The sequence below is a fragment of the Homo sapiens genome, chromosome 9, assembly GCF_000001405.40.
Source record: "Homo sapiens chromosome 9, GRCh38.p14 Primary Assembly".
NCBI lineage: Eukaryota > Metazoa > Chordata > Mammalia > Primates > Hominidae > Homo > Homo sapiens.
This window is the reverse complement of record NC_000009.12, coordinates 22,363,380-22,378,993: the sequence shown is the minus strand read 5'-3', so window position 1 is coordinate 22,378,993 and position 15,614 is coordinate 22,363,380. Positions and strand designations below refer to the sequence as shown.

The 15,614-nt window shown below is 38.8% G+C and overlaps 1 annotated feature.

Annotated features, from left to right (window-relative positions):
* Window positions 14,804-15,315: an enhancer, noted in NCBI's record as "H3K27ac-H3K4me1 hESC enhancer chr9:22363678-22364189 (GRCh37/hg19 assembly coordinates)". NCBI's record gives its function as "activates a minimal SCP1, AML or CMV promoter by ChIP-STARR-seq in naive H9 embryonic stem cells {active_cell/tissue: H9 hESC(naive)}" and the evidence as "EXISTENCE:reporter gene assay evidence [ECO:0000049][PMID:30033119]".

Sequence of the window (15,614 nt, the reverse complement as noted above, 5' to 3'; positions counted from 1 at the left end):
TTCCTAGACAACATCCAACTTCAAACTGGACAAGTAGTTCTCCAATCATTCTAATTTCTGGACTAATATAGAAGAGTTGACATAAAATTCATAGGACAGGAGTCCTCCCATTTAAGTGGAGCTTATTATACTGGAAGTATCAAATGACATCAAAATTCTACACGAGTGCTACAGCAGGAAATATCAGGCTTTCCATCACCCAAATTAGTACTGTCAGTGAGTGATAACAAAGGTAGGGGGTGTGTGGGGTAGCGCTCCAGCTGAACCATGCTCACTTTTTTAAGAAGAAGAGTCAGCTTTTAGGGGACTTAAGATTTTCCAAGAAAATTTGTGAATTATCTTGAATGTACATATACTACCCCAAACCCCTAGACCTAGTGTTAAACATTTTGTGAAGAGTGTTTTCTACTATTCCATTGGTATTTTAAGAGTCTCCCGTCCGGGCTAACATGGATGGCCCTAATATATGCAATGATGACCATCTTATTGATGAGATGGGCATTAGCAAGCGTTTGGGCTTTCTGTCACAACACAGTTTGGGGAAATCTCTGAATCCCAGCCCGGATATCATTTAGCTAAAAATGAGTCTCTGTTGCTCATGCAAAACACTTTGTCCTTTTTGTGATTTCATCATGAACATACAAAGTGAGGTAAGTGATATTATCCAATTTTTCTGAAGAATGTGCTAAGACTTATAAAGGCTAAGTGATATATCTGAGGTTGCATAATTACTAAGTGTCACAGCTCAGTGTGTTCTTCCACTTTGGTACTGCTTCAGTAGCTCACACAGGCTTCAATATACTACACTTGAAGGTTTAGATTGTTCCTGGCACACGATAAGTACATAATGAATAACTAGCACATATTCTTTCACATATACTTAATATTAATGTTTCTTATTCTTTCTCCGTTTACCTCCCTGCCTTGATGTTTTTTACATCCCTTAATTATATCAGCTTTTAGATGATAAATAAAACTATTCTATATAAAACTGTTAACCTTATTGTTAACAATAAAGCAGTGCTACTTGGCATTTATTAAAGCCCTAGGAGGTGTGCCATTCACTTGACATATATTATTTCTCTGCCTCATAACTACACTTATATATGTAAAAATGGGCTCAGAGAGCTGACTCAGCCACAATAAATGGTAAAATACGGACTCAGGTTCACCAGAGTGGCATTGCTTAAGGTGCTATATGTACTTACGTTTCACAAGTTTATGTGGCTGTGCAAGTAATTCTGTTTTTTTTAAATTATAGAATTAGAAAAGAAAGTGTTCCTGAGTAAGTAAAATTGTGAGTTTGTTTAGCAATGTTTATTTTAACATAGATGATTAGACAATCTAATAGAGATGTCTTGTAGGTCATTGAGAAGACGTCAAAGAGAGAGTGACAGGACGTCTTTGAGACCCATACTAACATGAAGTTGAAGCTTTAAGATGCTATTAATTTTTATTGAGCAACATTTATTGAAAATGAAGGCTGAAAATACAGAGTTGGGAACTATCCAAAGTTATGAAAACGTTGGAAAGGAAAATATTTCTTGAGTGCCAACAATCTACTACATGTTAACCCTTTCTTTCCACACAAAACACGTGTAGGCTGATATAATTTTCCCATTTTACAGATTGGAGCAAAATTGAGACCATTATATGCACCTTAACATAATAATATAGGTTATTTTATAGGTTATTAAACAATAATATATAATATATGGCTGACTCCAAAACACATCATCTTTCTCCTAAATCCCTTTATTCCAAAGGATGAAGGAAAGACAACAAAGGAGGCAGAAAAGAATGATGACAAATATAAGAAAACACCCAAAATAATACAAGATCATGAAATTCAGGGATGAGATTCTGAGGGAGGAAATGATAACAGTGTTGAATGCTGCAGAGATGTTACAAAATGAAGATAATGAGCTAAAGCCACATTTTAGTAGTTTGATCTGTCTACAGTTGGAATACCTCCTCTGATTAATATATCACACAATAATACTAAGTTCCAGGGTTTTGTCTCTATTTATGGCAGTTAAACTTCGCTGAGTGCATCAGGCAGACTGTAATCCTCCTGAGGCTCACCATCAAGACCATGTTTGCTCTTGTTTAAAGGGTAAAGCAAGCCATTTTGGATAGGTAAGCAGAAATCCATCACCAATTCTGGAAAATACATACAAATAGTACGTCTTGCTAAATCTTTGTGTAGAAATGGCTAAAAATACAGTCTTAACTTAAACATGTAGACAAATTTAAAAAGCAACCTGTTGCATCCACCCTCTTAGGATATATGTCATTTAGAACACTCTTGGCTGCAACGAGAATATTCAAATTAAATTTGGCTTAATAACAGCATTTATCACCTCCATAAGAAGAAGTCTAGATACAGGACAGTTACTGGGTTAGTTCAGTTGCTTGACAATGCAGTCAAGGACACAAATATTTCTATTTTCCCAGTCTGCCGTCCTTGGTATGATGGCGGTCTCTCCCCTCAGGATGGCAAAATGGCTGTGGTAGTTCTAGGCAGACACAATCTCTTCTAGAAAAAATAAAACGAGAACTTACCTCTCATAAGGTTCTTTTCAGTAAAGATGTGTGCTTTTTCCAGAAAGTTTTCAGTTAACATCCCTTCCAGTCTCCTAGACCATGTCATGTGGCCATACTCTAGCTCTATAGCTCATCGGCTCTCAAACAGCAGTGATTCTGCCATCCCCACCCCCAGGAACACTTATCATGTCTGGAGATACTTTTTTCACAACTAAAGGAGTGCTACTGGCATGTAGGTGCATAGAGGCTAAGGATGCTGCTAAAACATACTAAAATGCACAGGGCAGCTCTCCACAACAAAGAATTATCTGGCCCAAAATGTCAACAGTTCTAACATGGAGAAATCTCATTTCTGGATATTAAAAAAAAGACTGTGAAATAAACAGAAGCCTTCATCTGGCATTTTGGAGGCAAGTTGTCAAAACAAGGAAGACCTTTTGGGAAGAACAGCTTTAGGGTAAGCAAGCAACACTGTCCACTACAGCATAACAAGAGCCTTCTCTAAGGAGTTAGAAGAGGAAATGGAAAGTGCCAAGCAAAGATAATTTGCATAGAAAGAACTAAAGTTTGGTGGGTTTGGTGGGATGGAAGATGACAAAGTAAGAGAGTGAAAGCAATAAAGAAATGGTCTTTAGGTTAAATATTGAGACTTACTGTGTTCTTCAGTCTAGTTCAACTCATACATTAAACTTGCCAACAAACAAGGCATATTCCCACTAATAAGTCTGTTATAAATTGAATTGTGTCCCCAACAAATTCATATGAAGTGCTAACCTCCAGTAGGTTAGGATGTAACTTTATTTGGAGGATAGCATTTTTACAGAGGTAATCAGGTTAAAGTATGATAATTAGAGTGTGTTCCATATCCAATATGACTAGTGTTCTTATAAAAACAGAACATTTGGACACAGGGATATGCAAAATGGAAAACAATGTGGAGACACCCAGAGTAGATGGACATCCACAAGACAAAGAGACTGGTGTGGAACACATCCTTCCCTTGAAGCCCTTAGAAAGAGCCAACCCTGCCAACACTTTGATTTCAGATTTCTAGCCTGGAACTCTAAAGCAACAAATTTCTGTTAAGCCACTACTTTGTGGTTCTTTGTTACAACAGTCTTAGAAAATGAATACAGAATTGTAGAATAGAACAGCTTTTGACTTTGACAGCAAACCTCTTTGGTGGAATAGCTGAAGGAAACTGGTTTCTTTGGCACTAGACATGGATAAAGATGCTCAGCACACATATTAAGTGAAAAAAGGGAATGGCATTGGCTAAATTATCTGTGGCTACTGTTCTATGAAGACTGTAAGAAATAGTTTGAAATCACTGTCACTGTTGAAATACTAATGCAATTGAGTGCAGTTTTATATTTTTTCATGTAGTCAGGAGTTTACCGATTTGGTAAAAACAAAGTCTGAACACCCAGGTTTAATCCTAGCTCCACAAGTGAATTTGGGAATAATAGTTAACCTCTCTGAATTTCAATAATTCTTATATCATAGAATTAGTAGCTATGAAGTCCTTGGCCTAGTTCCTGGCACAGAATACAACTTTAAGAAGTAAGTATAATTATCAGATTAAAAACCTAGCACAGAGTATGGTAGTATGTGGTATAAACCTAACAAATGTAAATTTGGCCTACTTAATTTTATTTTTAAAATTAAAATTAATTGAGTACTTTTGCCAATGCTAACGGACTTATGTTAGCACTTTTACATGCCTACATAATTTCATGTAATTATCATAAGCCTTTAGAAATGAATGCATGATTATTAGCAATATTATCTTCATTATACAAATGTAAAACATTGAGGCTTACGGTAAGGTAATTCAGCCGAGACAACTTAGCTAATAAGTAGAAGAATCAGGCCAGGAATCCAGATCTATTTGACCCCTTCACCCATGTTTTAAACCACAACTAGAATGGCCCTCTAGTTGTTTTCTTATCAAAGAAAGGGCAGAATGATTCCACAGCTATACTTGGACCTGTAACAAATGCAAATTATCAGGAACTGTGGTGTTTATCTGAGCACATGGGGTTTTGATGTTGGCTTGTCAAGCTGTATTTCTTACATGCTGAGATGTAACAAAGACGACCTGGTATTTAGACTTTGGGGAAAACTTACAATTAGATTTAGGAAAACATGAGAATTGTCTCCTGTGACATTTCCCAAACAACCAGGCTAGTAACTTGGTGGGTTGAGGAGGTGGGGGAGGAAAGCATTATGAGCTGAGCCAGAAAGGTCTCCTCCTTCCACCCCCTCACCCTCTGGTGCAAAAAGCACAGCTGGTGCATCCGCCTGCCTTCCAGGCAATATGCTTTTTCTGACCTCAGGCTTTGGTCCATATGGCATTGCCTCCCTGAGTAGAAAAGGAAAGCTGTTTTGTTTTATTGAAAATTAGGTTCATGTATACAAAGTGTTGACAAAGACATTACAGGAGTAAGAACCATTTGTTAACTTGTAACTTAGCAAGATACCCTAAGAGAAGGAAAGAGGGCTTCAAGGAGGCAGGAAAGCGCCTGCTTGCTGTTTGCTCAATACAAATCCCCAAAAATCCACTGCCTGAAACCAGACAAAAGACAAATTACATGGCTGTTGAGGAGTTTATTTTTCCAGATGGCCAACCTGAAGCCATAGTTCACTGGCAAATTAAGTCTCCTACTACAGAGAAATCCAGCCCGATCATGTGTTTAATAAAAAGTGCAAAGTGTGCTTCTCAAATGAATAATTTAGAAATGTGGAATATGCCAAAGAGAGTGTAAAAAGGGGAGCCCTTGGCACATATTGGGTTTTATCTTTCATGTTTGGTCAGTTGGTAAGTAAACAAAGCTGTGAAAACAACTTCCCAATTGTCCCAGGGACTCCTGCTCATATTGGTCTAATTCTTTAAAGACAGCTCTTGCCCTACTACCTCATGAAGATCAAGCTGTTTCTATTTCTGGATACCCAATGAGCTGATCTTTTTTAATGTTTCCCTATGGCGAGGAAATATACATGGATATATGATATATAGGATAGATTTTATATATATATCCTATATATGATACATAATTATTTATAAATATATATTATAAATATAAATATATATAATTATTATATATATATATACAAAATCTGTCATTCTTTTGCCTTTGCATCCTCATAGCTTAGCCCCCACTTATGAGCGAGAACATACAATGTTTGGTTTTCCATTCATGAGTTACTTCACTTAGAATAATAGTCTTTAATTCCATCCAGGTTGCTGCAAATGCCATTATTTCATTCCATTTTATGGCTGAGTAGTGTTCCATGGTGTATATACATATATATATATACCACATTTTCTTTATCCAGTCATTGATTGATGGGCATTTGGGCTGGTTCTGTATTTTTGCAATTGCAAATTTTACTGCTATAAACATACATGTGCAAATATCTTTTTTGTATAATGACTTCTTTTCCTCTGGGTAGATACTCAGGAGTGAGATTGCTGAATTAAACGTAGACCTACTTTTAGTTTCGTTTGTTTGTTTTTGAGATGGAGTCTCGCTCTGTTGTCTAGGCTGGAGTGCAGTGGCATGATCTCTGCTCACTGCAAACTCCACCTTCCCAGATTCAAGCCATTCTCCTGCCTCAGCCTCCCGATTAGCTGGGACTACAGGTACCCGCCACCATGCCTGGCTAATTTTTTGTATTTTTAGTAGAGACGGGATTTCACCTTGTTAGCCAGGATGGTCTCAATCTCCTGACCTCATGATCTGCCCACTTTGGCCTCCCAAAGTGCTGGGATTATAGGTGTGAGCCACCAAGCCCAGCCAACTCTTAGTTATTTAAAGAATCTCCACACTGTTTTCCATAGAGGTTATACCAGTTTACATTCCTGCCAACAGTATAAAAGTGTTCCCTTTTCCCCATATCCATGACAAAATCTATTATTTTTTTATTATGGCCATTATTTCAGGAGTAAGGTGGTATCACATCATGATTTTGATTTGATAATTGGTGATGTTATGCGTTTTTCCACATGCTTGTTTGTCATTTGTATAACTTCTTTTGAGAATTGTCTATTCATGTTCTTAGCCCACTTTTTGATGGGATTGTTTGTTTTTTTCTTGCCGATTTGTTTGAGTTCTTTGTAGATTCTGGATATTAGTCCTTTGTCAGATGTATAGATTTTGAAGATTTTCTCCCACTCTGTGGGTTTTCAGTTAATGCTGCTGACTGTTTCTTTTGCTGTGCAGACGCTTTTAATTAACTCCCATCTATTTATCTTTGTTTTTGTTGCATTTGCTTTTGGGTTCTTGGTCATAAAGTCTTTGCCTAACCCAATGTCTAGAAAGGTTTTTCTGATGTTGTCTTCTAACATTTTTATGGTTTCAGGTTTTAGATTTAAGTCTTTGATCCATCTTGAGTTGATTTTTGTATAAGGTGAGAGATGGGGATCTAGTTTCATTCTTCTACATGTGGCTTGCAAATTATCCAGAACCATTTATTGAATAGGGTGTCCTTTCCCTACTTTTTGTTTTTGTTTGCTTTGTTGAAGATCAGTTGAATGTAAGTATTTGGCTTTATTTCTGCATTCTTCATGCCATTTCATTGGTCTATGTGCCTATCTTTATACTAGCATCATGTTGTTTTGGCTACTGTGGCGTTGTAGTATACTTTGAAGTTGGGTAATGTGATGTCTCCAGATTTCTTCTTTTTGCTTCATCTTGGCATGGCAGTGTGGGCCCTTTTTGGGTTCCATATGAATTTTAGGATACTTTTTTCTAGTTCTGTGAAGAATGATAATGGTATTTTGATGAGAATTGCATTGAATTTGTAGATTGCTTTTGGCAGTGTGGTCACTTTCACGATATTGATTCTACACATCCATCAGCATGGGATATGTTTCCATTTGTTTGTGTCATTTATGATTTTTTCAGCAGTGCTTTGTAGTTTTTCTTGTAGCGGTCTTTCACATCCTTGGTTAGGTATATTCCTACATTTTTTGTTTGTTTGTTTTGCAGTTATTGTGAAATGGGTTGAGTTCTTAATTTGATTCTCAGCTTGGTTACTGTTAGTGTATAGCATAGCTACTGATTTGTGTACATTAATTTTGTATCTTGAAACTTTGCTGAATTCATTTACCAGTTCTAGGGCTTTTTGAATGCGTCTTTAGGGTTTTCTAGCTATACGATCATATCATTAGCAAACAGCGACAGTTTGACTTCCTCTTACCAATTTGGATGCCCTTTATGTCCTTCTCTTGTCTGAGTGCTCTGGCCAGGACTTCCAGTAATATATTGAATGAAAGTGGGCACCCTTGTTTTGTTACAGTTCTCAGGGGGAATGCTTCCAACTTTTCCCCATTCAGTATAATGTTGGCTGTGGATTTGTCGTTGATGGCTTCTGTTACCTTAAGCTATTTCCCTTCTACGCTGATTTTGCTGAGGATTTTAATCATAAAGGAATGCAGGATTTTGTTAAATGCTTTTTCTGCATCTATTGAGATGATCATGTGATTTTTGTTTTTAATTCTTTTTATGTGGTGTATCACATGTGTTGACTTACGTATGTTAAACCATCCCTGCATCCCTAGAGTGAAACCCACTTGATCATGGTGGATTATCTTTTTGATATGCCGTTGGATTCAGTTCGCTAGTATTTTGTTGAGGATTTTTGCATCTATATTCATCAAGGATATTGGTCTGTAGTTTTCTCTTTTTGTTATGTCCCTCCTTGGTTTGGATATTAGGGTGATACTGGTTTCATAGAATGATTTAAGGAGGATTCCTTCTTTCTCTATCCTGTGGAATAGTGTCAACAAAATTGGTACCAACTCTTCTTTCAATGTCTAATAAAATTCAGCTATGAATCCGTCTGGTCCGAGACGTTTTTTTGTTGTTGGCAGTTTTTAAACTACCATTTCAATCTTGCTGCTTGTTATTGGTCTGTTCAGAGATTCAATATCTTCCTGGTTTAATCTGGGAGAGTTGTATATATATTTCCAGGAATTTATCCATCTCCTCTAGCTTTTCTAGTTTATGTGTGTGAAGGTGTTCATAATAGCCTTGAATTATCTTTTGTATTTCTGTTGTATCAGTTGTAATATCTCCCATTTTGTTTCCAATTGAGTTTATTTGGATCTTCTCTCTTATTTTCTTGGTTAATCTCACTAATGGTCTCACAATTTTATTTATCTTTTCAAAGCACCAGCTTTTTTTTCTCATTTCCCTTTTATATTTTTTTGTTTCAATTTCATTTAGTTGTACTCTGATCTTAATTATTTTTTTCTTCTGCTGGGTTTGGGTTTGGATTGTTCTTGCTTCTCCAGTTCCATGAGGTGTGACTTTAGATTGTCTATTTGTGCTCTTTCAGACTTTTTGCTTCAGTTCCATGAGGTGTGACTTTAGATTGTCTATTTGTGCTCTTTCAGACATTAATGCTACGAACTTTCCTCTTAGCAACACTTTTGCTGTATTCCAGAGGCTTTGATAGGTTGTGTCACTATTATCATTCAGTTCAAATAATTTTTTTTAATTTCCATCTTGATTTCATTGTTGACCCAATGATCATTCAGGAGCAGGTTATTTAATTTCCATGTACATTGTTTTGAGGACTTCTTTTGGAGTTGATTTTCAATTTTATTCCACTGTGGTCTGAGAGAGTACTTGATGCAATTTTGAATTTTTAAAATTTATTGGGACTTGTTTTGTGGCCTGTTATATGATCTGCCTTGGAGAATGTTCCATGTGCTGATGAATAGAATGTATATTCTGCAATTGTTGGGTAGAATGTTCTGTAAATATCTGATTAGTTCATTTCTTGTAGTGTATAGTTTAAGTCCATTGTTTGTTTGTTGACTTTCTGTCTTGATGATCTGTCTAGTGCTGCCAGTGGAGTATTAAAGTCCCCACTATTACTGTGTTGCCATCTATATCATTTCTTAGGTCTAGTAGTAACTGTTTTATAAATTTGGAAGCTCCAGTGTTGGGGACACATATATTTAGGATTGTGATATTTTCCTGTTGAACTAGTCCTTTTATCATTATAAAATGTCCCTCTTTTATCATTATAATGTCCCTCTTTGTCTTTTTTAACTGCTTTTGCTTTAAAGTTTGTTTTGTCTAATAAGATTAACTACTCTTGATCACTTTTGGTGTCCATTTGCACAGAATTTCTTTTTCCACCCCTTTACCTTAACTTTGTATGGGTTCTTACGTGTTAGACAAGTCTCTTGAAGACAGCAGATACTTGGTTGGTGAATTCTTATCCATTCTGCCATTTTGTATCTTTTAAGTGTAGGATTTAGGCCGTTTACATTCAATATTAGTATTGAGATGTGAGGTGCTATTCTATTCATCATATTATTTGTTGCCTGAATGCCTTGTTTTTTTTTTCATTGTGTTATTGTTATATAGGTCCTGTGAGATTTATGCTTTAAGGAGGTTCTATTTGTTGTGTTTCCAGGATTTGATTCAAGATTTAGAGCTCCTTTTAGCAGTTCTCGTAGTGCTGGCTTGGTGGTGGCAAATTCTGTCAGCATTTGTTTGTCTGGAAAAGACTGTATCTATCCTTCATTTATGAAGTTTAGTTTTGCTGAATAGAAAATTCTTAGTTGATAATTGTTTTGTTTAAGGAGGGTAAAAATAGGACCCCAGTCCCTTCTAGCTTGTCGTGTTTCTGCTGAGAAATCTGCTGCTAATCTGATAGGTTTTCTTCTATAGGTTACCTGATGTTTTTGCCTCACAGCTCAGAAGATTCTTTCCTTTGTCTTGACTTTAGATAAACTGATGACAATGTGCCTAGGCAATGATCTTTTTGCAATGAATTTCCCAGGTGTTCTTTGAGCTACCTGTATTGGGATGTCCAGGTCTCTAGCAAGGCCAGGGAAGTTTTCCTCAATTATTCCCTCAAACATATTTTCCAAACTTTTAGATGTCTCTTCTTCCTCTGGAAAACCAATTATTCTTAGGTTTGGACATTTAGCATAGTCCCAAACTTCTTGGAGGCTTTGTTCATTTTTTAAAAATCTTTATTGTTTGTCTTCGATGGATTTGGTTAATTCAAAAGCCTTGTCTTTGAGCTCTGAAGTTCTTTCTTTTGCTTGTGCAATTCTGTTGCTTGTTCAACTCTTTTGCTGAGATGTTCCCATGCAGTTTGCATTTCTCTAAGTGTGTCCTTGATTTCCAGAGGTTGTGACTGTGTTTTATTAATGCTATCAATTTAACTGAAAATTTTTCCTTTCATATCCTGTATCATGTTCTTGATTTTTTTAATTTGGGCTTCACCTTTCTCTGGTACCTTTTTAATTAGCTTAATAATCAACCTTTTGAATTCTTTTTCTGGCAATTCAGGGATTTCATCTTGGTTTGGATTCATTGCTGGTGAGCTGATGTGATCTTTTGGGGGTGTGAAGAAACCTTGTTTTGTCATATTACCAGAATTGTTTTCTGGTTCCTTCTCATTTGAGTAGACTATGTCAGAGGGAAGATCTGGGATTCCAGGGCTGCTGTTCAGATTATTTTGCCCCATGGGATGCTCCCTTGATGTGGTATTCTCCCTCTTCCCCTAGGAATGGGGCTTCCTGAGAGCCTAACTGCAGTGATTGTTTTTGCTCTTCTGGGTCTAGCCATCTAGTGGAATTACTGGGCTCCAGACTGGTACTGGGAAATGTCTGCAAAGAGTCCTGTGATGTGATCCATCTTCAGGTCTTTCAGCCTGAATACTAGCACCTATTCTGGTGAAGGTAGCAGGGTAGAAAAGTGGACTCTGTGAGGGTGTTTGGTTGTATTTTTGTTTAGTGCACTGCTTGTGTGTTGGTTTACCTCCAGCCAGGAGGTGGTGCTTTCAAGAGCGCATCAGCTGGGTGCAGTGGCTCACATCTGTAATCCCACCACTTTGGGAGGCCAAAGTGGGTGGATCACAAGGTCAGGAGATCGAGACCATCCTGGCTAACACGGTGAAACCCCATCTCTACTAAAAATACAAAAAAATTAGCCAGGTGTGGTGGTGGGCACTTGTAGTCCCAGCTACCTGGGAGGCTGAGGCAGGAGAATGGTGTGAACGTGGGAGGTGGAACTTGCAGTGAGCCGAGATCGCACCATGCAGTGAGCCGAGATCGCACCACTGCACTCCAGCCTGGGTGACAGAGCGAGACTCTGTTTCAAAAAAAAGGGAAAAAAAAAGAATGCATTAGCTGTGGTCCTACAAGAATGATGCAAACTTGTCCTAGGGATGCCTGGTTAAGTATTCAGGTTTCTTAGGTGATGGGTAGGGTCATAGAGCTCCAGAGAGATTATGACATTTGTTTTTGGCTACCAGGGTGGATAGAGAAAGACCACCAGGTGGGGGCAGGGATAGGCATGTCTGAGCTCAGACTCTCCTTGGGTGGGGATTGCTGAGGTGGCTGTGGGGGATATGGGCATGGTTCCCAGGCCAATGGAGTTATGTTTCCAGGGGGATTATCACTGCCTTTGCTGAGTTATACAGATTCCCAGGGAACTGGGGGAAAGCCAGCAGTTACAGGCCTCAACCTGCTCCCACATAGCTGGCAGTCCTAAAGGCTTGTCTCATTCCCACTGTGTTCCCCCAACAGCAGCAAGTCTATTTCCAGGCAGCTGGAGACCAGGGCTAAGAACTTTCCTCAGACCATGGTACCCCTGTGGAGAAAGCAAGCAGACACCTTTTTTTTGACAACTCAGGGAGCCTGCAGAAGTGATCCATTCCTTCAAAGGGTCTGTGGATTCTTTTAGCTTTCCTGGTATGTTCTGGCAGTGGTTCTTGGAGCAAAAGTTCAGGATGTGAGTGCCCACATGCTGCTCTGTCCATCTGAGTGGGAGCGGCAAGTTAGCCCTGCCTCCTATCTACCATCTTAACCCTAAATAACTAAAATGTGTATATTCTAAGATTCATTGATTGCATGGAGACAGATAATGACAGAGTAAGCTATAAAAATAAAGAAAATAAAAATCAATCCATCCTACTGTTCATCAAGTTTAGTTATTATAATCATTGATTCCATCAAAGCAATTTTCCAAAGCAGAATTATATTGGGCAGCAGAAAGTAGAAGGTGGAAGGAAAATGGTTCCTCAGAAATTAAGAGTCCAGTGTCTTTATGATAATAATATTGATAGTAATAGTGGCAGCTCTCATTTAATAAAATAAATGCTGATTGTGTGTCAGGGAGAAGGCTAAGGACTTAGCATATATTTGTGTCATTTAACTTCACTGCAACTCTTTAAAATTGTAATTTCCACTTCATAGATGAGGAAATAGGCCTAGAGGTTTGTTATTCTGCTAGTAATTGATGGTGCAATCAGGACTCAAAACCTGTCAGTCTTACTTCAGGGATCTCATGATTAACTCCTATGCTCTCATTTGTTCATTTATTTATGAAACAAGCATTTACTGAATTCCATGCATCATCTAAATATTTGGGATTCAGAAAAAGACAATCTTCATTCAATGAACTCTCCATTTATTGGGGGATACATACATGAAAAAAAAGTGTAACAAGGTGAGGTATGTGCTAGAAATAAGTTGTGGAAAGATGTCCAATGGCCCCAAATAAAGTGACCTATACTGACTCTCAGGAATGGGGAATGGAGCGAGCTCAAAGGCAGGAAGTTAACATCTAGAATCCCTACCTTTTGGCTGCCCCAAACCTAAGAGAAATGTTCTAAATAGGATTTGTTCACTAAAACTGCTTAGTTGTGTTCTTGATTTTTCCTAAGGTTCTGTTTTTAAATCCCATGAAATAGCCCTGTTTAAGATATGGTTAAAGTAGAAAAATGTATTCTATATTAAAAATTTTTCTTGTTTCTGTTCCGTGTCCACAACCCCTCTTGGCCTTATCAGCCTTCTTCCTCTACTTAATAATTCCTAATAGATACACTATCTTTCATTTAGTCCCCTTGAAGCCCAGTCTCCATCCTGCTACCAAGATGAACTTTCTAATATGAAAACCTGATATCACATATCCCTGTTAAATATCCTTTATTGTTTCCTCTTATCCTTTTTTGAGTGTGTAAATTACTTTTGTAACTTCAACTTCCTCCACACACCACCTTCATGATAACAACCACTTTATTCAGCGACAATTTCTTTCAAGCATTGTATGCAGTCCTTCTCTAAATAATCACAGAAACCTTGTAATGTAGGAGATTTTATCCTTATTTATAAGCGAGGGAATAGAGGAGCTAAGCAATTGAGTGATTCACTCAAGTTCATGCCACAGACTTCAGGATGACAAGCAATACTGTCTTCACCAGTAAACAGGGTGCACTTTTAGGCAATGTACTGTCTTATTCATCTATTGACAATAATTAACAAAATGCCCGATAGTGAAAGAATCAATGAATGAATAAATGAGTATGTTTCCAGTTCTGCTGCATATAAAATTTGGATTTCTATTCCACATTCGTTGCATCTTATTCTCTGGTTGACTGCATTTCATAGACCTCTTCAAATCCCTATTACAAAAGAAAGCCAGCCTTTGGTTTTATTGGTTCTTTCCTTTATTGGATTCCATGTGAAATCACCAATCTACCTAGACTCCTCTTCCTTGTAGGTAGAAAGCCTAAGTGTGCATGATCATGCAAGTTCTCTGTTATTCACTGTAAACGGTTGTCAAAATCTGTGAGACGTCAGTGTTTTGCGGATCAAAACTACCTCAATCCATATTACAGCTCTATCATTAAGTTATAAATGGCCAAACATGGAGAATTATTGTTGGAAAATATAGGACAAATTAGAAAAAACAGATGTTGCAATTGCCCCATTGAGATGTAGTGTCCATCTTAATAGGAGTTTTGGAGAACAGATAGGTTAATACATGTAGAACACTCAGAACAGTGACTGGCATAAAGGAAACATTCCAACTGTTTGCTGTCATGAATATAAACCCATCTTACCCTTATGCTCATGCTGCAGTAGGTGGTGTAGATATTATTATTACCTTGATTTTCCTAATAGTGGCATAAAGAAATTAAATTCCAAAGTTGCTTAATTCTAATAAGTAGAAAGCCATTTCCACAAGCTTTTGGACACATGATACACAGGAGTAAAGGGGGAACATGCAACAATGAAGGAATTTCTCTCCTGTCGGTATGGTAAAGAAGCCCCAGATGGAAACACCCAGGTAGTCCTTAATAGGATTTTATATTAAGAGTTTTTCCAATTGCATTTCCACTCTGTTCATTGAGTACAGACCCTGAAGATGAAACGAATAAACCAGTTTTTTTTGAAAAAGTATGTTATTTCATAAATGGTTGCCCTTAAATCACAAAATAAATTATAAAGATGTAGACAGAGGCCACTATATATTGACCCCCACTTCACCTCCACTGACTAATTCTACTTACTAAGCACTTTATGCACATTGTCTTATTTCATCCTATTTTTCAGATGAAGAAACTGGGAGACTACAGCTCAGTATAAGTAGAAATAGTGAGAGGTGACCACGGGCTAGCAGCCCTGGCTCGCTCTCAGCACCTCCTCAGTCTTGTCGTCTGCTCTGGCCATGCTCGAGGAGCCCTTTAGCCCACCACTACACTGTTGGAGCCCCTCTCTGGGCTAGCTGAGGCTGGAGCCGGCTCCCTCTGCTTGTGGGAAGGAGTGGAGGGACAGGCACAGGCGGGAACCGGGGCTGCGCACCACGTTTGCGGACCAGGGCAAGTTCCGGGTGGGCGTGGGCTCGGCGGGCCTCACACTCACAGCTGCCGGCCAGCGCCTCGGGCCCTGTGCAGTGAGGGTCTTAGCACCCTGGCCAGCAGCTGCGGAGGGGGCGCTGGGTCCTCGAACACTGACAGCCCACCCCCACCACGCTTGAATTCTCGCCGGGCCTCAGCCGCCTCCCCGCGGGGCAGGGCTTGGGACTGCAGCCATGCCCGAGCCTCCCCGCTCCCCGGGTGGGCTCCCAAGCGGCCCAGGCAGCCCAAGACTCCCTGACAGCCACAGTCCCCTGCTCCACGGCGCCTAGTCCCATCGACCACCCAAGGGCTGAGGAGTGCAGGCATGTGGCATGGGATTGGCAGGCAGCTCCCCCGCCCTGGCGTGGGATCTACTAGGCAAAGCTAGCTGGACTCCTGAGTGGGGT